This window comes from Homo sapiens, chromosome 8 (assembly GCF_000001405.40).
Source record: "Homo sapiens chromosome 8, GRCh38.p14 Primary Assembly".
Classification (NCBI taxonomy): domain Eukaryota; kingdom Metazoa; phylum Chordata; class Mammalia; order Primates; family Hominidae; genus Homo; species Homo sapiens.
In genome coordinates this window covers 22,833,884-22,855,423 of record NC_000008.11, presented here as the reverse complement: position 1 = coordinate 22,855,423, position 21,540 = coordinate 22,833,884, and the positions used below count along the sequence as shown (strand labels likewise).

At 47.6% G+C, this 21,540-nt stretch overlaps 1 protein-coding gene and 1 long non-coding RNA gene across 3 annotated transcripts in view; both read left to right on the top strand.

The window, feature by feature from the left end:
* Positions 1-21,540, top strand: part of PEBP4 (phosphatidylethanolamine binding protein 4) — a 227,827-nt gene that overhangs the window by 85,654 nt on the left and 120,633 nt on the right. The gene's annotated exons all lie outside the window — the stretch shown is intronic.
* LOC124901906 (uncharacterized) lies at positions 8,504-13,260 on the top strand. The gene is made up of 2 exons (XR_007060853.1): positions 8,504-8,923; positions 11,802-13,260. It is a non-coding gene; the product is annotated as an uncharacterized LOC124901906 (long non-coding RNA).

Genomic DNA, 21,540 nt, shown 5'->3' with positions numbered 1-21,540 from the left:
TCTTGGTGACAATCTGGGCTCCACTTGAACACCCCTAGAGATCTCATCTGGGGGATTTTACTTTTTGTTCAGATCTTTACAAAAGTTCCCTGCATTCACAGTAATGTCAACATCTTCCCAAGCATCCCTCTCCCAGGAGCTCTCAGTGTCACTACACGGTGTGACCCGTGCACCGACACATTCACCCCATGCAGGGCACAGGTCACCCAGGCAATTACAGGTGGGAGAAGCGCAGAGAGAGAGGAGGAGTTGATCTTGGATCACAGAATTCTTCTGTGTCAGCCATGGGAACACTGACTGTAAGACTGGTATGCTGTTCACACCTGGACCATGGTACGTCTTCCAGGGTTTAAAAAACGCCTTTCTTTCCTGGGGTGCATGTGTGTGTGTGTGTGTGTGTGTGTGTGTGTGTGTGTGTGTGTGCGTGCATACTCACACATACACACTCATTTGGACAAGCTTGCACGCACACACACACACACACACACACACACACATTCTAATCTCACCCTTCTGCTAGTTAATCCTAAATGGGAGAAACTGTCTCTGGAATTTGAAAAGAGGGAGGGGGAGGGAGCAAATAAAACCTTCAGTAGAAAGAGTCAGGAGAAGATATGCATTGAGCATGTGCAGAGTAATTTTTCTTCTGCATGCTTTATTAAAGAATTATATGACATAATTACACGTTATAATGTCTTTACACATATTTATGGTAATTACGTCAATGCACATTTGATGTTCTGTAATTACAGTAAATACACAACAATCCTGACAAATCGCTTGATCAAGAATTCAAATTCCCTAAGTGAAGACGGGGAGAAAAGACATTAACTCCTTTGCTCCCTCATTGCCCCAGCCCCTGCTTATCTCTCTGTCCTTTACTGGCAGTCGTGGAGGTGGTTTGTATTCCTGGCTCTTATCAAGGCACTATTACATTCATTTCCACCAGGCACGTTCCTGAGACTGGTCCCTACGGCAAGACTACTTATTTTTATCATTCCCCCTATAATACTATTGTGTATGCATGTTGTGTAGGAGGAGTGGGTGCCAGACCTGATAGTGTCCCAGAAGCAGATATGTAGTGAATATACATATTTTGGTGAGCCCTCTGCAAAAAGATTTGTCCTGGCAGATGTAGGGAAATACAAAGGAAGTCACCAGTCAGGTTTCATCTCCTATGGAAATTAGAGTTAAAATGAACACCAGCAAAGCTCCTCACTTACCTAGAGGCTGCTGCCAATCTCAAAGCCACTTTGTAACTCAGTCGATTCCTGAAGGGTAGGGCCATATCCAGTCCTCTAGCACCTGGAGTCATGCATTGGGATTCTTAAGTAGTGAGGCTGTGAGACCACCTATCTGTGTGCAGCATTGCAGGCACTGATTATATTGGATGGATCATTTTTTTCTCTTATATGAATTTCTTTTTTTGGTCTCATGGTCTCTGGATTCTGGCGTTGGTGAGGTTTGTTGTTCTTGCTAACTAGGATCTGTGGCCAGTTTATCAAAAACAATAAGCAGTTGGCATAATTGTTGTCCCAACCAAGATGCATCTCCTGTGATCTGTTCATCTGCAGATCCCAACTCCTCCTAAGGCCTGGAGGAAGCGTTTCTTTGCCTTCGTCCGGACAAGTTCCTGGTCAGAACCATCCATGGACTCAGGCTGTCATTTATTAGGCCCAAAGAGGGAGTGCTGGACTTCCAGGAGGCAATAGTAGAGTCCAGGATTTGAGCTCTGTATCCCTAATGGCTCACCTTCTGGATTTCCTCCTGTGAAGGGAATTTGCAGTGAGGCAAGTTGTAGAATTGAAAGAAGGTCAGGACTGAGGCAGGAAGCCCTGGTTCCCTCTATTCCTACCTAACTCTGATCAGCAGCTTTTTGACCCTCTCTCTGAAAAGAAGGGTACCTTCCTACTTACTTCACAGGGCTTTGAGCTAATAGATATTAAGCAGCTTGAAAATTTTAAAACTTTAAATAAATGTAAGAACTTTGCAGTAAACTCCAGTGCCCGGCATTGACTTCCTTTAGTATGAAAGCAGAAATAATGCTCCAGGTTTACATCCACTGATTTTATCCCACCTCTGTGACCTGGAGAAACCAATTATCCCTGGAACAGGTGGTCTTGCAGGGTGTTTTCACTGGTCCCCACAGGAGGACAAAAGAAATCTGTCACACTGGTTCAGGCCAGTGTGGGAAAGGAGTAAAATGAGGGCTAATGATTCATAACAGTAGCAAACTTATTGACTAATAAAATTCTTGGTCATGAAGCCTCCGTGTTCTACGCATACCGAAATCAAAGCAATTACAGATTGAAATGAAACTGGAATGCTTAGTTCGGAAAATGCTTGTTTTAGCCCAAGATGGGGGCTGGAGGTGAGTGACCCCTCAGTCCCCCAGTAATGAAAGCGCTTCGCAGCTCGCTTGGAAGCATGGTAATTGCTGCAGGCTAAGATAGGGATCTGGCTGCGCTAATGATGCCCTGTTCCTTTTTAGAGGCCTTGCTCCAGTTTTCCTGGAGTGCCAGGATTGCAAAGGAATGCAGTGTGATAGAAATGAACACATGAACACACGCATCTTAGCATTTTGCATTTTTTCAAACGTTGCCATCATCTTTTAGTCTTTTTTTTTTAATTGTTAATTGCTCAGGACCTGGTAAATTTAGACGGATGCCTCATCGATGTATTTAAACATGTGAGCAACTGAAATGGAAACAGATGTAGCATTTTCTTTCTTTCTTATTTTTTTTTTCTTTTTAGTGAGGACTTTGCACGGCCAGGAACTATAATTCATATTTTCTTCACACTCACAAAAGACTCCGTTGGAACCAAGTTTGTGTTGGGAAACAGATTTTTTCTAGGCTCTTTCTGGTTGGACGCTCTTGTGGTGTGTTTCTCGCTGCTGTTCATTTACCAACGACTAGAAAAGGTGGGCTCGGAGGGAAAGGAGACCCAGGCTTGCTCCTTTTTACATGGGTTTGGGAAAGAAATCAGGAGGTTTGTGCTCTTGGGATGGTCGTTGAAGATGGGAGGGTGCCGGAATCTGCAAATGTGTTCGTGTAATCAGAGCATGGTCGCTCTGCCAAAGCAACTTCTTGCCTCACTACAACAGATAGGGAAAAAAAGAAGAACAAGAAACTCAGTTCTTCTGTACTCTAGGGGCTGACGCTTTGGAGGTGGAGGGCAGGAGTTTGAAATTAAATATTGGGAAGAGAAATCGGCAAGAGACCAAATCTCCAGCAACAGAATGTCCATTAAATCTCAGTGATGGGATTCCCAATAAAAACTGTTCCAACCCCTCTCCCTCTTTCCTTTGCCACCTCCCCACCAGCACTTGGGAGTTCAATAACTCCCCCAGAGGGATGGTGCCCTATTCTCTCCGGGTCTGTGTAATCCTTGGCTGCTGAGCTACCAACTGCAGTCCCCAGGGATTGAAAATTAATTTCTTTCCCTGCCCCACACAGCTGATCCCAGCTGGCCCGTGGCTCAGCTGGGCGCTGGGGTCAGAGCTGCAAGACCACCAGGTGCTCGGAGTAAATGATCAGGGCCTTGGGCTGAGAAGGCTCCTAACAATACGAAAATGCCATTTTCCACTTAACTCAATTGCAGTGCATCCGGCTGTCTCTTTGCACCGAGATTCAATTATCAGGGCTGACACACACTCCCTCTTCCCCCCAAGTCCTCGCTTGTGCTTTCTGGGGAACTATTTAATGCCCCCTTTTCCCAGCAACTATGGGTAATGGGATTCTGATAAGCAAAAGAGAGAGGATTTTTCTGCTCGTTGTCAGCTTTAGGTGTGAGGACCCGAGTAACTCTAATGTGTGGTGGGTGGCGCCCTGGGAGAGCACCGCAACATGAGTTAGAAGACCTTGCTTTTCCTGTGTGGTCTTGGGCAAGTTGCTTAGCTTTCCTGAGCTCAGTTTCCTTCTCTGTCCTATAATAAGGTTATACCAGATGATCTCTGGGTCTCATCATCTAGTTCCAAAATCCCAAGTGTGTACCTTAAGTAGGCTTCACTGAGGGCCCCAAAGCACTTCCTTGATGGGAGTATATTCCTTCTCAAGAATCGACTCAGAAGGAACTGGAATGCAAAGTCACAAAGAAAGGCCATTCAGTGCCCCAATAACTGGTGCGCCTGGAACTCAAGCCAGATGTTCCGGCTTTGGGCTCCGGGTCTTTCGCATCCGTCTTCCAGAAGCCCAGGAGTCTCCGTGGAGTCCTGCATGTTAGAACTTACTAGAGGCACCATGCAAGCCAAATGTGGAGGAGAGGAAAGGAGTGGAGACTGTCACCCAGGGCAAGATCCATTTGGATGTTGTCCCAAAGAGGCTGCCTTTCCAGGTCCCCCGCCTCTCGATCTTCAGTTTGTGAAGCTGTCAATGGAAACTGGATCCAAGTGTTGCTGATTCAATGATGTTTGCCCAAATGCTGTTTCCTAAGAACTGTTGGATGCCCAAGATGCTTTCTGAGTCTGTTTTCTTTTTCCAACAAGCCCGTTTCTTTTCCTGGAAGTGGGACATGGCATGAAGCCGTGTCTGAACCCAAGTCTATTCCAACTCTTTTCTAAACTTGGATCACATTGCAATGAGAGGCCCTTCCTCCTACCCCTCCCTGAGGTCCTGAGAGGCTGTGGCTGTTAGTAACACTGACTATATGCAGCAGTCTTCCTGCGTATGCGCCTAGACATAGCTCCATACATCCGGATTTCATTTCATTTTCAAACCATGTTGGGAGGAAGGATGAGTATCTCCATCATATAAATGAAGAACTAAGACTAGAAGTCACAAATGGCAGGTTCCACAGACAGAGCTAGGCTCATAGCCCCTGCTCTTTCTAGCATCACACAGACACACAGACACACACACACACACACGCTTGCCATGGAGATGTTTTCAGACCAAGAACAACCCCTCCTAGTGGCGCTGCCCAGCCCTATCACAGCTCCCGCCTCACCTGGCTGTTTGGACATGACTTTGCTCTCTGGCTTCCCAGTTCTCCCAGAAGACCAGCTTGCTCCAAGAAGCCCCTGGCTTTGTTCCTTTTCCAGTCCCTCTTCAGTCCCTTCCCACCATCAGGCAGTCTCTTTTGACTGGTTGTCCTGATTCGAGATGCTGGCCAGCAAGCATTCCTCCCATTCACTCTTGCCTGTTCACCTTTTCCATTGTTTTCAGGAGGGTCTCATCAACTCAGACCCTAAACCAGGGGAGGCATTGCAGTAAGAAGAAGAACAAGAATCATCCCAGCTCAATCACTCACTGGCCAAGTCCTCAAGCCCATTATTTATTTCTTCTAAGCCACGGATTTTTTTTTTTTTTCTTAAAGAGTAGGATGATATCTTCCTCTATCACAGGGCTCCTGGGGGATCCAGGAGTCCTTACGTGTGGACATATTTGGTGAACTGTGAAACACAAGTCATACACAAGCTCTTCTGTGCCCACTGCCCCCACCCTAATTTGATCACTATTTCTTTCCACCCAGCATTTACCAAATGCCCACATGTGCCACCTCCTTCACGGAGTACACTGAGGTCCTCTCTCCCAACCCCACTCACAAACCAGTTGCATTCCACAGCAACAAATGACAGATTAAAGCCATGGACATGTGAATGTCTTGAGTTGACTGTATGTGAAAGGAATCAGAAGCATCAGATTTTGACATCTTTAACCTTTATTTGCATAAAAAGTAGATATGAAGAGTGAAGAGTTGTAGTAACACCCCAGGCCAAGTAGCATATTCAAGACAGCATGGCAGGTGACACCCAGGATGTCAGAGAATGCGACAGCAGCACTGGGGACATGAATCACATAATGCCACACATCAGCATTGCCAGCAGAGCCAGGATAACTTGGCAGTGGGCACGGAAACACCGTCTGGGTCAGAAGGTGCTAAGAAGAGCTGGTGTGTTATCATTAGCAAAGTAACACACAGATTCAACCAAGGCTGCTAATACCAAGTTGCCATGTCTTCCACCCTCTCCTTCTGCCCTCTAACTGACCTCAGGTCGGTAGCTTTCCTTTCCCTGCCTGTGCAGTGGGACGCCCCACTTCCTGTCTATACTGTAAAGCACATTGAAGGCAAGAACCAGGTCTTAGATGCCAGAAACGCATCTCCCAGTAGAAGGCACCTAATATCTATTAACTCATTGGTAGCCATAATCTATTTTTACTCAGTGCCTCAGCTTCTCCATTTGTAAAATGAGAGAATAATTACCTTCTAAAGGATGAATAAGTTTAATAGCCATGGAGAATACTGAAGTCATCTATTAGAACTGCTTTATGTTCATCTTCATTTCATTATGTGACCTTACCCAGCCATTCTTGCTGAAGTCTTTAGGGTCTCAAGCACAGAACTGAGAGTCCCAAGCACTTTAAGATCTCAAGGGGACAGAGGCTGGGGGTTGCCCTCTTGCTCCATGGACATGCTGCCTGGAGCTGGTACTTGCTGCTTTCCAGATTCCTGCCACTGGACTCTATTAGGAGAAAATAGTGTAAGGTTATCTGGCTCTCTGAATGATGGTGGCTAGTGCTTCTGAGAAGAGTTTAGAGACTAGACAGTGTACGTTTGTCTTTATCGGATAGTTCTTCAAAGGGAAACAATTCCGCTCCCTCAGCAGTCTGCCTTTTTCCCCAACTGCCTGTCTTCTTGATGACACTCATCATCGTCTCTTCCCTGAAAACACAGCAGAAGAAAGGAAATTTCTCCTTCCTTTCTCCTTGCCACAGCTACTACTAAGAGTCCTGTGTCTCCACCTTTGCAACTCTCTCTCCTCCCTCCCACCTGCCTCTTTTTCTCTGGCTACCAAAAATTGATCTGTTTCTTATGGCTCCAAGTGGAATTTGACCATGTGCATGGGAACAGCCAGGCAGAGCTGACAGCACCGTCAGACAGCACAGCTCCTGTCACACCTGCACAGGAGTGAGCACACACTCACACACACATGCACACACACAACTTCCCCTTCTCTGAGCCTGCACAGGATTTCCTCTCCCCTATCCCCCTTGGCTGGTCCCACACACTCATCCTCCCCTGGCACAGCCCACATCGCCACCACCCTGCTCGCCCCATACTCCACTCTCGGCAGGCAGACAACCCTCCCCTGCCTCCCTACTCCTCACAAATCCAGGAAGAGCTGCACTCCCTTGGATAATGAGTTGAGAACTTACAGCCTCTCGTCTCTCTCTGGCTGGTGACTGACACAAATGGAATTCATCTTTAATCATCTGTTAACTCGTTGTCTATTATAGCTCTTTAATAGCACCATAGATATTCTTAATGAAGCATGATTTAAGGTATTTACAGCACATGGACCGACAGACATCACTCACAGTGTGCAGGTAATGAGGCATAAAACGGCTTTTGAATTCCCCCCAAAAGAGAAAGCGACAGAGAGAGAGAGAGAGCTTTAGCACTGGGGCAAAAGAAAAAAAAATTAAAAGCCTTGTGTTGTAAGGTTTGTTTTAAAATGTTTAGGCATTTAAAGTCATTTCAGCTCTTTCTAGGTGTTTGGCTCACAGAGTTCAGCGATTACCCCCACTGAGAGTGGCAGGCTCAGGTTCTGAGCATTCTCTCGAAGCCACCTGAGGTCCAGGCATCTTTCCTGGAGCATTTTGGGGGCTGGGGTTGAGCAGGGTTGCTCAAGGAGACACGTAGAACTCAGACCATCCTCAGCTTCCTCCACTCACCCAGTCTTCCCTGATGCTGTTCCTAGGGGTGACAACCATCTTTGTAGGGAAGGGGACAGGGGCTAGGGTTTACCCTCCCCCACCATGGACCTACTTCCTGGGGCTGCCTGGTGACTCTCTCTTGCCTCATGAAACCCAGGCTGCTTTAGCCTTCAAAGTAAAGCATATGAGAAGCAGAGGGGGACCTAGCCTGTCATCTTAACAAGGAGGAGACCCGAAGTTACCCAGCTAGTTAGGGATAAAACCAGAACTGCAACCAGGATCTCCTGTCCCTTGGGGGTCTTCCTGCCACCCCATGATGGTGTTCTGAATTTCCAACTAGACAGAGTTCATAAAATCTCCAAGAAAATGGAGATTTCAAGAGAGCAGAGAAAAAGATGGAGGTAGAGTAGAAGACTCTTTTCCAAGGATATATTTTAAATATAGAGATCTCTAAAGCAGAAGTGACACCTTAAAGCGTTGTATGCCAGGGTAGGATGGGAGAGGATGGCAGATCTGACTTTCGGCTCTGACCCTGCTGCCCCAGGGCCCCTGACCTTTGAACATGACTTGCTGACATTCCTCTACTTCCTTTCTCCGCCTCAGAGGGATGGGCCCACCTTCTGCATAGTCAAGGAATAACGTAAAGAAAAATGACTTGTTTTGGGGGTGTGGATTGGACATGCACATCATTCACAGTGATGGAAGTGATTTCTCTTGAGGACCAATTTACCAGGATCCCCTTTTTTTTTATTTTTTAAAAATTTTTTGTAGAGGCATGGTCTCCCTGCGTTGCCCAGGCTGGTTTCAAACTCTTGGGCTCAAGTGATCCTCCCACCTGGGCCTATCAAAGTGCTGGGATCAGAGGCATGAGCCATCGTGCCCTGCCAGGACCCCCTTTGTTATGTCACCTTTATGACCCTCCATTGTCTCTACACAGGCAATCTCTATTTGGCCCAAACCCAAACACTACAAGTTTTTGGTGACATTTGTATTGAGTCCCCTTTCTGCAACTCACCAGTGTTGGCCACTGTGAGGCCATGGTAGATGTGGGCAGGGAACTGGAGACTCCGGGCCCAGTGGGTTCAACCTCATGAGGGAGTGGAGTTGAGATGCTTTGGGGATCAGTGACACAACCTCTTACTTGGCTTGGGGTGCAAACCTAGACTCCCTGTCACCCTGGCCTTCTCCTCTCCAAGAGAAGGAGAACTGTGGGCATCGCAGTGGTGACACTTCAGTTATCACAGGCTCAGCAGCCAAGTGAAAAGGTAGGTTTAGGGTGGGGCGAGGGAACCTGATGCGATTTCTCAGAATGGGGTGATGACGATCCCATGATGGCTTGACCAAGGCCACCAGATTCTCTCCCAATCCAGGGTTTAGTGCCTTTAAAAGCAGGAGCTCCTACTTCTAAGAGCCACATTTCCCCTTTTCCACTCAAAAGAAGGTGGCACAGGGAGAGGAAGGAGCCAGCCCTGGTCGTGCAGGACCAGAACTCTGGGGCCCGGGACTCCCCAGGCTGTTGCTTCTCCCAATCTGCCTCCCAGTGTGCAGCCTCCCCTGATGCCTGTGAGAGGCCACTGACCATGGGAGGGAGACAGATGCCCTGATCTGTGCACACAGTGTATGCAGGGTGGCATTCTGAGGACACAGACAGGAGAAGCAACCCACCAGAAACAGCCCAAAGATGGAGGTCCGCATAGAAGAAGGACATTTCTCCTGGCATCTCTAGCTCTTTTAGATGTACCCCCACTTAGCGGCTGTCCCAGTCTCTGCCATCCAAGCTATCCCCTAGGCGGGCCCAACCCCAGCAAGCAGGAATACAGGAGCAGAAGGTTGCCCATCCAGGGCCTGGCTGACCACGCCAGTCATTTCGCGCATTCATTCTGTGCCGGGCCAGGCCCGTGCCAGGTCCAGAGAGGAGCTGAGCAGCTTGTCCAGATGAGCCTGCGATCTGATCAGAGGACAGATTTCTAAACCAATAATGCCTGATAGTGGCTTAAGGAGGCGAGAGGCGCCTTATGGGGCATGAGGGCAGAATGACTGTGGGTGGAATACCTGTGATATTGAGAATGGATTTCTCAACCTGAAGGATGGCAAGGTGTTTCCCCCAGCAGGCCACAGAGATGGATGTAGAGCTGACCAGCCTGCCAAAATACACAGACTCATGGAATGGCAAGATCAGAGGAGGCTCTGAAGCTTCCCTAGAACATCTCTACCATGTGCTGCTGGGTTTATTCACTTATTTTTGAGACAGGTCTCTCTCTGCTGCCCAGGCTAGAGTGCCATGATGCACCCATGGCTCACTGCAGCCTCAACCTCCCAGGCTCAACCTCAGCCTCCTGAGTAGCTAGGACTATAGGCACACACCACCACACCCAGCAATTTTTTTTTTTTTTTTTGTAGAGATGCGTCCTGGTATGTTGTCAGGGCTGGTCTCAAACTCCTGGGCTCAAGTGATCCTCCTGCCTTGGCCTCCCAGAGTGTTGGGGTTACAGGCGTGAGCCACTGCGTCTGGTCTGATGATGGATTTACTTTCCTCCCTAACCCCACCCTCACTCCCAGGCAGCCCATTGCAGAGCTGCTCAGCGCTGACTGTTGGAAAGTCTTCCTTCATCCTTCAAGGACTAGAAGGCTGATATAGGGGATGCATGAGGACCAGATAGAGAATGGAGAGCTGGCAGGCCTCAGGCGGTCTGGGCAACTGATTCCCCTTTATACTGCTGCTCTCCCCTTTGCATCCTGGGTAAATTAGCTCCTGGGGGCCCTGCCTGCATGGGGCTTTAGTTTGCCATGACCCTGATTTCTCCTGCCCCCTGCTAATGGGCCCTGGTTCATAGGGTTGAGAGTGGCCCACCTTTCCTTGTGCCAGGGCATACACTGGCTAGCTTATGGGTTGGCTGCCCCAGGTCAAGTGCCCACCATGGTCCAATCAACTAAGGACCAATGGCTTTGAGCAGGGGTGGGAGTCAGAGTCAGATCCCAGATACGTCAGATTCTGGCTGGGGGCAAAGCAGTAACCCGGCCAGTGGGCCAGGGCACACCTCTGAAGTCCTTGGCTAGGAAGGAGTGGTCTCTCCCTGAACTCCTGGAGGAATATATCCCCAACAGAACCAACTTTCTGAACAGAACAAAACAAATCAAAATAAAAGAGAGAGAAAAGAGAACACAGTTAAGTGAAAGGGAAGAAAATCGCAGGGGACCCCTTATTGAGATACTTGAAATTTTCGGCTGGGCATGGTGGGTGGCTCACACCTGTAATCCCAGCACTTTGGGAGGCTGAGGTGGGTGGATCACCTGAGGTTGGGAGTTCAAGACCAGCCTGACCAACATGGAGAAAGCCCGTCTCTATTAAAAATACAAAATTAGCCAGGTGTGATGGTGCATGCCTGTAATCCCAGCTACTCAGGAGGCTGAGGCAGGAGGATCGCTTGAACCCGGGAGGCAGAGGTTGCGGTGAGCTGAGATCGTGCCTTTGCACTCCAGCCTGGGCAACAAAAGTGAAACTCTGTCTCAAAATAAATAAATAAATAAATTTTCTAACCGGGTACAGCCTTGCAATCCAGGATTTCCTTTAGTACAGTCTCGTCCTAATTTATAGCAACTTCTTTCTCTGTCAGCTGGAAAATGCCGGTTTATAGAGGCAGAAGCATCTTTAGAAAATTTCCGGGGCCGAATCTTGGTGTTTCTTCTGTAATTACTTCTGTGACAATATGAGCACTCCAGTTATTATTTCAGTAGTGGTATTTTTTTCCCCACTTTTCCAACTGAATCAGCGCTTTTGTGCTTTCTAAGGAGGATTTGAGTTGACTTGCTCTGGCAATGGAAAAGCCAAGGCCCCAAGAGCGAAGTGCTTGTTAGAAATGTTGCTTCAGAGCCGTCAGAGGAGAGATGAGAGGAGCGGAGGGGCATCGCCTCACTCCTGTGAGGGTCTTTGTTTTCCCTCTTTCATCGTCTTCACCCTTGATCCAGAATCCAGGCTCTTCGAGCTTCCCAGATAACTCAGGAGTGGCCCTTGTCATAAGCTTAAGTCATTACTTAAGAATATTTCTGAAAAACACACGTGTCTGGGGCAAGGCTGACATTCAACTTCCAAACATCCACTCAGGACCAGGCCCAATAAGGCTAATTTTATTTTCTCTTTTCTAGATGATGTTGGAATTTCCTAGATGATTCCATTCATGGATTGGCCATGCAGCAGGTGGTTGAGCACCGTCAAGTACACCCCAGGTTCTCCCAGGCCTGGTTTCTCTTGGCTGATTCCCTGACATTAGGAAATGTTTTCAGCAAAGCCTGTGTATGACACTTAGATGGAGCAACCCATTTCCTAGGAAACTGTTCATTCTATACATGTCCCACTTCCTGGTATCATTTGGATCCAGCTGCCTCGATTGGCCTTTCTTCCTTGGCCCTTCTCTGGCCCCTCCACTATTAGATCAACTGAGTAGTTGCTAACCAGACCAGCAACATAATTTGTGGGGGCCTGCACAAAATAGAATTGCAGGGCCTGGCCAGGCGCAGTGGCTTACACCTGTAATCCCAGCACTTTGGGAGGCCGAGGCAGGTGCATCACCTGAAGTCGGAGTTCAAGACCAGCCTGGCCAAAACATAGAAACCCTGTCTCTACTAAAAATACAAAAAATTAGCTGGGCATGGTGGCACGCACCTGTAATCCCAGCACTTTGGGAGGCCAAGGCAGAAGGATAACCTAAGGTCAGGAGTTCGAGACCAGCCTGGCCAACATGGTGAAACCCCGTCTCTATTAGAAATACAAAAATTAGCCAGATGTGTTGGCGGGCGCCTGTAATCACAGCTACTCAGGAGGCTGAGGCATGAGAATCACTTGAACCTGGGAGGCAGAGGTTGCAGTGAGCAGAGTTAGCGCCACTGCACTCCAGCCTGGGCAACAGAGCTAGACTCTATCTCAAAAAATAAAAATAAAAATTCAGGGCCTGTAGTTCAAAAAGTATCGAGAATTTCCAGATGGCAACAGCAGAGCATTAAACCAAGCAGCTGCCCTTCTAAGTGCAGGGCCTGTGCAGCTTCAGAGGCTGCACGCAGGTGAAGCCAGCCCTGCGTCTTATGGCAGTAGGAACGGCCCTGCACACCCTTCCTATGGCTGTGCAGGCCTGTTGGGATCCTGGTCTGTTGACAGAGTCATGCTCCTTCCATTTCATCGCAAGAGTGTTCCAAAGCCCCATGGATTTTAAACTCAGGTTTTTAAGGTTCTCCCTGATGACATGGCTCATATATTTGTAGGGAGCAGCAATTACTTTTTGTAAGCCATATTCACTCTACTCAGAATATGCACTTAATATTTCCTACCTCCTTCAGCCCCACAAGAGCATCAGAATTGGCACCCTGGGTCCAAATGAACCGTTTTCCATGTGGCTGGAAATGCTGCCTCTGGCCACCATACCCAGACTTTTAATAACCACAGTTCTCCTCTCTGCTCTCAGTCCTTAGGGATCCCCTCCTAAAAGTCACGATCTACCCAAGAATCCACTGTGAATCGACCATCCGCCAGTTTCTCCAAACGTTTTAAAGAGCAATTTGTATTTTCAACCTGTCTCACCTCTTGGGGATAATGAATTAGACGAGTTGACTACCCACTGTGTAAGTTAGCAGTTCCTTTTATCTGTACTAACTGCTTCCTTTTCAAGTGTCAAGAGTTTGCTCTAGTTCTGCCTTCCAGGGTTTGATAACCAAGACTGTGTTTGAACATTTGTACTCCTAGTAACTTGAAATACTTTGAACATACCTCGTCTCCTTCTTCTGTCCTTACATGGCCTCTCCCTCTCTCTTGCCCGTTTCTTATATTTGGCCATTTGAGTGGCCCTTTCTGCAGCAGCACTGGAAACCAAAGACAGCACTCCTAGGCAGGCCTACGATGGTTCTCTGCGAAGGCAGTGCACCAATATATGTGTGTTTCCTTCCCAGTGAAGCTTGACCTTTCATTGTCTTTTCAGGTCTCAGCGGCCCTTTGGGCTGGTGTCTTTAGGGAACAGTCTGTAGCCATTCTTATCCTTTTCCAAGCTGTCCTCCCAGAACTACATGCAGGGTTCATTCTAGCACAGGGCTGCCAACTTTCTCTGTTCTCACATAGCCTCTTGGCATCAGCCTGGATTTATCTGCACCAGGTGGCATTTGCACATGCAGAGGGCCTCCCTGATCCTCTGATTACCTGGAGGCCTCATTGCACAATTCCTCTTCCATGAAGGTGTAGAATAAATAGGCCTAGAGTTGAACCCAAAAGAAAGCAACCTAGAAGTGAATAGAGAAAGGACCCGTTTGCTGTTTTGTTAGTTGTTGTCCCTAAGCTGTTCCCTATCAATGACAAAATATTTGGCACCAAAGGTTCTTAATTTTGAAAGTAACCTTGTCAAAAGCTTTTGAAAAACTAAATACAATTTCCTTTCCCACTAAGTTATTTACCCCCTAAAGAACTCTGACAGATGAAGTAGGAATGATTGTACTTTACAGAAATCCTGCTTCCACCCCCTCAAAGGGCCACAGAAGAGAGTGGCTAAGAGCCGCTGCTTCGCAGTCAGACAGAGCTGGGTTTGATTTTTGCCTTTGCTACTTACTTATGATGTGCCCTTGGGCAAGTTACTCAGTCTTCTCCCTAAGCCTCAGTTTTCTCTTCTTTAAAATGGAGATGATAGTGCTGAGCTGGTGTGTTGGCTGCAGAATAAAATGCGTCAGGGGATATGAGGGGTTTGGCATGTAGTTGAAAAGGGCTTGACTAATGGTAGCTATTATTTCTTCGAGAATCTTTTATTGCTGATTACATCAATTTATACATCCAGGGTTTGCTTTTTATGGAAAAGGCACTTACTTGGTGGTAAACTCCTTGGCAATTGGTACCATTAGTTATATATTTCCTGTATTTTGTTCATGCACTCAGCATGCACATTTATTGTTTGTCTCATGTGTGTCAGGCACTGGGCCACAGTACTCAGCAGAGGACACTAAGAGCCAGCCACCAGTCCCTGGCAGAGATCACAAGGTGGTGATGGGAGCAAACACACCAAAAGCCAGTGCGATGTAACTAGCCTTTAACACAGACATTCTCCCAAGCAACTGATTCACATTTTCCCCACATTCTTCCAACCAAGTCTTTGACCCAAGAGGAACATGTGGGTGTTCCTAAGGTAACTCTGAAAATTTCTCAACAGGCAGGAATTGCTCACAGTTCTCACCCTTCCAATTCCCTAACAAAAGAACCAAGGCTGGGCACGGTGGCTTATGTCTGTAATCCCAGCACACTGGGAGGTCGAGGCAGGAAGATTGCTTGGGCCCAAGGAGTTGCAGACCAGCCCAGGCAAGATGGTAAGACCCCATCTTTAAAAAAAAAAAAAAAATTAAAAGAAGAAAAAATTTTTTTAAGAAAAGAAAAGAACCATGTTCTTTTGGGACACCCCAGCCAATAGGGTCACATTTTCATCCACACCTGTGTGTTTAAAAAATTCTTTGTTAAAGGCCCACCAGTCCCCACTGAACCTAGTTTCAAGGAAAATCTAGGCCACGATGCTCAGTTTAGAGGGTAATATGAAGTAAGGAAGACAGGCAAAATCTATCCGAAACCTGAACCGTGTTTTACACTGTGATCACGGTTAGATATAATTCATCTGATTCTCTGAGCCTTTCTGGAATTTTATAAAATCTTCTGATGGGTATGGAGAATAGTATAGTGTCCCACACACAGAAAAAAATTTCCCCAACAAATGTCTTATTTACAGCAGACCGGTCACATTCTGTGGATTTCTTTTAAATGAAAACACTTCCTTGAAATTGGAAGAACACTTAGAAATCTCATGGCTGTCTTCCCTTAATTCATTTCTTTCTTTCCCCAACAAGTTCACTCCTAAAAAGCTCAACATTGCCTCCCTCCTCAGCCATTCCAATTGGGGTTTGGGCGAGGGGGTAAAAAACACCATTTTCAGCCTCACAGGATGAGATGGGCCCCTCACGTGGAAGAGCTGGCAGTGGGAGGGAAGGAACCGGAACAAATCACGAGGGTCTGTCAGGTTGTGGTTCTCAGTTATGCCTTGTTTAGCACCCTATGGGAAGACAGAAACCCACACACACTAGGTTTAGAAACCAGAGGCTTCAACCCTGCAAGTATTTGTTTTGTGCCACCAGTAGCTATTGTATTTCACACACCAAGTCTTCATCATCCCTTGTAGTCCTTTTCGCCAGAAGAACCCTCACTATGTTGTAGTAACCCATTCATTCTCCTAACAGCCCTTCAAGAAAGCAAGGTGTTGAGATGAACCTCTCCCATTTTGCATGTGGAGAATCAGAGGCCCAGATAGGACCAGTCATTTAGTTCCAGCCTCTGCCTCCCCACCAGCCCTTCTTGATCCACCAGCCTTTCCCCCAGGCCTTGAGCCCATCTAGCTCCTTTGAGCAGGACACCGCCATGCCACCCCCAAAGCCCCTGCCTCTTCCCAAGAGCCCCGCCCCTCCCAGCTGGGTAGCCCAACCAAGGCTCCACCCACCTCAACTGGGGCTGAATCCCGTGATGACCAACACCACGTCCTAAAGACTGAGCCGCCAGCCCAGCCTCTCACCCCCATCTATCTGGGCTTGGTCATCCCGAACAAGTGTGAAAAACGCCACCTTTGCAGGCCGGAATCTGAAAGAAATTGGAAACCTGCTGCTAGCTCCATCCCCACTCTCTTCTCATGTTTGCTGTTATTTTTTAACACTTTTTTTTTCTCATAAAAGCACTATCCTCTTCCCCAGAGCTTGCCTGTAGCGAAGGCATGGTCTGTACAACTGCAATTATTTCAGAGAACAGATGGAGTGAGGAGCAGAAAGTCTGTTAATAGTAATAGAAATGCTACATGTTAACCTGGACAGCACACGATGACAGTCCCATGACTACCCGTTCTGTTCCCACCAGCTGGGCAACCAAAGTAGGAATGAGATATTCACAAACACAGCCATCAGCCACGTAGCCACCTAAAGTTAGAACTCAAATTCCTTCACACTAGGGGCCCTGGCGACTGCGGCGGCTTAGGCCGAGAGCAGAGGGGGCCGAGCCACAGCTCAGCGCCAGGCCTGGCAGCATCGCCCCAGCTCTGGCTTCACCGCCGAGGCTTCCTGGGTCGGCTGAGGCCCCGGCCTAGCTTTTAGGCAAACGCTGAACTTGCCGGCCCTAGCCAGGAGCCAACCCCACCAGTGCTTTCTGTGGATGCTGTTGGGAGGGAGCGTCAGGTCTGCTGAGCTGGTCTTGACTTTCTAGAAGGCAGTGTCATGTGTGAGGGAGGAAGTAAAGGACCAGAGGCTTCGAGTCTCCCAAGCCAAGGTGCAGGCTCCTTAGCAAGCAATACAGTGTCAGGGCCAGCAGTCCAACGGGCTCATCCAGCTCTGTGGCCAAAAATTTCTTTCCCTTTCCAGAACATTGAAAAAAAACCAAAAAACCTGTTTCCTAACAGAGAAAATGGGTACAGTTCATTTCAACAAATATGTCTTAAGCACCTACTGTGTGCAAGAAAGTATGCTAGGCACTTCAGGAGCAACAAAGAAATAATAGTTCTTCTGTCAGGAATATAATAATTGAAGTCCAGGCAGGTGGCTCACATGTATTACCCCAGCACTTTGGGAGGCCAAGGTGAGAGGATCGCTGGAGCCCAAGAGTTTCAGACCAGCCTGGACAACACAGGGAGACCCCGTATCTACAAAGAAAATTTAAAAATTAGCCAGGTGTGGTGGCGTGTGCCTGTAGCCCCAGCTACTCAGGGGGCTGAGGTTGGAAGATTGCTTGAGCCCAGGAGATTGAGGTTGCAGTGAGCCGAGATCACACCACTGCACTCCAGCTTGGGCAACAGAGCAAGACCCTGTCTCAAAAAAAAAAAAAAAAAAAAAAAAAAGAATATAATAATCTAATAAGAGAGGCCAAAAGAAGCCCACACAGAACCAAATACATAGCAGAATATGGAAGGTGCCTCAGCAAAGGTACAAGCAAAATGCTATTGGGGTTCAAAGAATGAGGACAGCTTCTCTGGTCCAAGGGACTTCAAAGAAGTATTCATAGATGAGATGAGTCTTGAGGAAGGGGAAGGATTTTCTGATGGGCAGAGAGACTACACAAATAAAGGCACAGAGGTGGGGAAGCAAGAATCACACTGGAGATCAGAAACATCCTCCGTCTGTGTGGGCATGTGTATGGGTATGATGGAGTCCCCTGGGCAGGCTAACTGACAGCTAGAGGTGCAGGGCCACAGATGCCAGGTTATGAAGTTTATATTTAGGGCCTAAGTCTGTAGCGAGTTGTTCTTTAGGAAGATTATCGGGCAGCAATGAGCTTGCAAACGCCAATTCTACGTCTTTCCAATGCTGCAGCCACTCACCTCATGTTGGTAGCTTGGACAGACCACGGTGTGAATATCACCCGTGGAAATGAACAATCGCTACAAGTCACGGCCTGATTTTTCTTTTTTTCCTGAGAGAGTTGGTTTACCAAAACACCACTAGCTTTCTCTGATGGTAAGCAAGCATCTAGTGAATAGGAAGAGAGGTTTAGAGGTTAGAAGGCCAGTTAGGATGCTATCGAAATAGAGGCAAGAGCTAGCGCAGACCTCGCTCAAGGGTGTCAGAAAGGATGGGGAAAGGTGAGGATAGATTCTAGAGACTGTAAACTCAGAAATCAGTAAGAATTGGGCGTGACTTTGAGAGGGAAGAGTCGAAAGATGATTCATACTTTGAATTTCACAAAATGGCAGTGCCATTCATAGAAACAGGTTAAGTCAGAGGAGGAAATGGTTAGGATGGTGGATATGAATGTAGCTTGGGAGATAGAGATATTTGTCTGATTGCTACTTTACTAAAGAAACGATCCACACCCTTTGTTGCTTAGGAGCTCTTTTTTTTTTTCTTTCTCTTCCATCAGTTTCCTCTTCTCTCTCCCTTTCATGCAGTATGGATAATATCTTAATTCATCATTTGACATGTAGTGATTTTTGCTGCCTGCTTGGCTGCGGATGAAGCTTTGAAATTTACATACGTTTCTCAGCTTTGTTAAGACAAAAAAGTTGCAGTGACCCGGGGTACGCAGCACAGCACAGACTTTGAGGAGGGGACAGAGTACAATGAGGATTTGAACTCGCCACCCGGCTGGCCCACACCCCTTGGCACACAGCCAGAGCCATGTGAGCCAGGCGAGAGCGTTCCTTCCCCAGCCATCTTGAGTGGGCAGATGCTCTAGAGGGACTGTCTTCCCCAGAGGACTGGGCAGCACAGTGGCAGAAGGCACTTGATTCGGAGATGCCGGAACATGTTGCCAACAAGTATATGTTTGTAGCATGGATGTTTTAAATTGCACAAGTGTCCAGAGACCTAGGTGTGCAGGAATTTGCAACACACAAACAAATACCATATTGTTGTGAGTAAAAGTCAGCTCCAAATCTGTCCCTCTACCCTCTGAGCAGGGGGAAGAGAGTGGAATTTGGAGACAAGCGATATGATTTTGAATCCCAGAGAAGCCATTCACTTGTCTTTCATGTGTTGATCGCTTCACATATGCCAGGCATTATTCTGAGCCATGTATTAATTCACTTAATATGCATGCAGTCTAAGAGAAAAGCACTTTGATTATTATCTCCATCTTATACATAGTGAACCTGAGGCCCAGAGAGTTTAGGCAACTTGCCCAAGGCTGCACAGCAGCCGAGTAGGATTCACATCTGAAGTTCACTGCCTTAGGCAGAGACCCTGAGCCCCCATTTTTCCATTTATAGACTCAGAATAATAATGTCTGTTTAGATGATTTTCCCTGCATCACACTGTTGCTGTTTACACGTCTGTCTCCCTCAGTAACTGTGAGCCACTTGAGGCAGGATGTAGGATGGAGCCCCAGGGAGCTGAATTAGTGAAGAAACTGGGACCTTTTGCCTGAAGAGCCGGTCATTGAAAGCCGTGATAAATGCTTTCAAATATCTGAGGGGTTGCCATGCGCAAGCAGGACAGGGCCTGTTCTAATGTCATTCTTGGAGACAGTGTGAGTTTGAAGAAGGCATTTTGGGGCTCCATGGGACATAGCGCTTTCTAACAACCTAAGCTGTACCAGAATGAACTGCATTCCCAGGATAGTGGGGGACCCATTGCTGGGAGGCTGTGGAAGATCCTGGATGGTTCCTGCTAGGTTTACCATAAAGGCAACATGATCCCTATTCCTTCCAGTGCTCCAGGATTCTGTAACAGTCCCATTCCCAGGTGAGCTTAATACCCCCTGGGGACATGGACAGGACCAGAGGGCTGCCTGTGAGATGCTGTGTTTCCATGTGCACCAGTGTTCCCGGGCCGCTTATTTCTAGCCCCACCAAAGATGCTAGGAAGCTCAGTCTCTCTGGCTCCAGGCAGCTGGAGATATGGACCATTTGGAGGAAGTCTTCCGGCTGTCAAGGTCACTGCTGCTCCAGGGGCCGGTGGAAAAAATTGCTGATGCCTTTTGTTCACAATAACAAAACCTGACCCACAGACATTGCTTCACAGTCTTAAAAATACTTCCATGCTTTTAACTCATTTTATTTTTAGAATAGCCCTGCTGTGTGAGACAGGTATTATTGCCATTTTGCAGATCAGTAAACTATACCTTAGTGACAGTAAATAACTCCCTAAGCCACAGCCTATATGTAGAACTGGGGCTGGAATCCACGTACCCCAGCATTTACTCGTTTACTCGAATAACCTCTTCACAACGTTAGGTCGCCTTTCTGGAGACCAGCCTCTGGCACCCACTTGTCAGAAGTGACCTAGGCGTTAATAGAAATGTGTTTGGGGACAAGGGAGAAAAATCCCTATCATAGGAGACTAAGGGGTTGGTTTGTGTCATGCAACAAGAAGTCTAGGGGCTGAATCCTGGGCTGATTCAGCCAAGGACTGGGCTCTTTCCATCTTTTTGCTTTATCATCTTTAGAACACAGGCTTTCAGTCACACACTTGTCCCCTCTCAGTCACAGGATGGCTTCAATACACCAACATCCCATTCACATTCCAGGCAGGAAGAAGGAAATGAGTGAGGGGACAAAAGACAGCAAGGATTTTCTTCTCCAAGTGAGACTTTGCCTTTTATTCCAGAAGAGATCCCTCCCTAGGGATTTTCTCCTACATATTCTGGGCCAGAATATGGCTGCCTCTCAATGCAGTAGAGCCTGGGAAATCCAGTGTTTTAGCTTCCCAGCTTCTAGAATAGAGGCAAGCAAGGGAGGAGGATCTCTGATCCACAGCAACTGCACAATACCTCTTTCTCAATGTGTCAGAGCATGCTGTGAACCCCAGCTCCTGGGTGGAGGTGCCTCTGTCCTCACAGCCCAGGATGTGTCTTTGTCCTCAGCAGCAGCAGTGGACACCAGCCTGGCTGCTGGACACCAGCCTGAAATTCGAACCCGTCCTTGGGGATGAAAGGCTTTCGGCTCCAGGGGCAGCACCCGGCTTGCATCCTGGCGGGCCCATCAGCCCTGGCGAAGAGCAGCTGTTACACTCAACCTCCCCCAGGAAGAAGGCTCTTAACTAGATTTCCCATACAGAACTTGGTGGGGGAGGCTCAAACACAACCAGCCCACTATGGGCTAAATTTGTATGGCAACCAACATCATCACGAATAGTGGGAGCGCAGGGCGACTTGTGTTTGTGACTTCAGCTTCTCAATTGGGTGCTGGATCCCCTTCATCTCCAGGACCCAGGACACAAGGGTCCCCAGCTGAGGTCAGGGGAAGATTGTCCTCTTTATGAAGAAGACACATAGTCTTCTAATGAACCGAACTGAGCTCACTGATGAGGAGGGGAGAAATCTGGGTTGTAGTCAGTCATAGATTTGGCTACGGACTTCAGGGGAATTAGACTTTAGGGTTGTCATTCTTGTCCCTAACTCTACATTAGA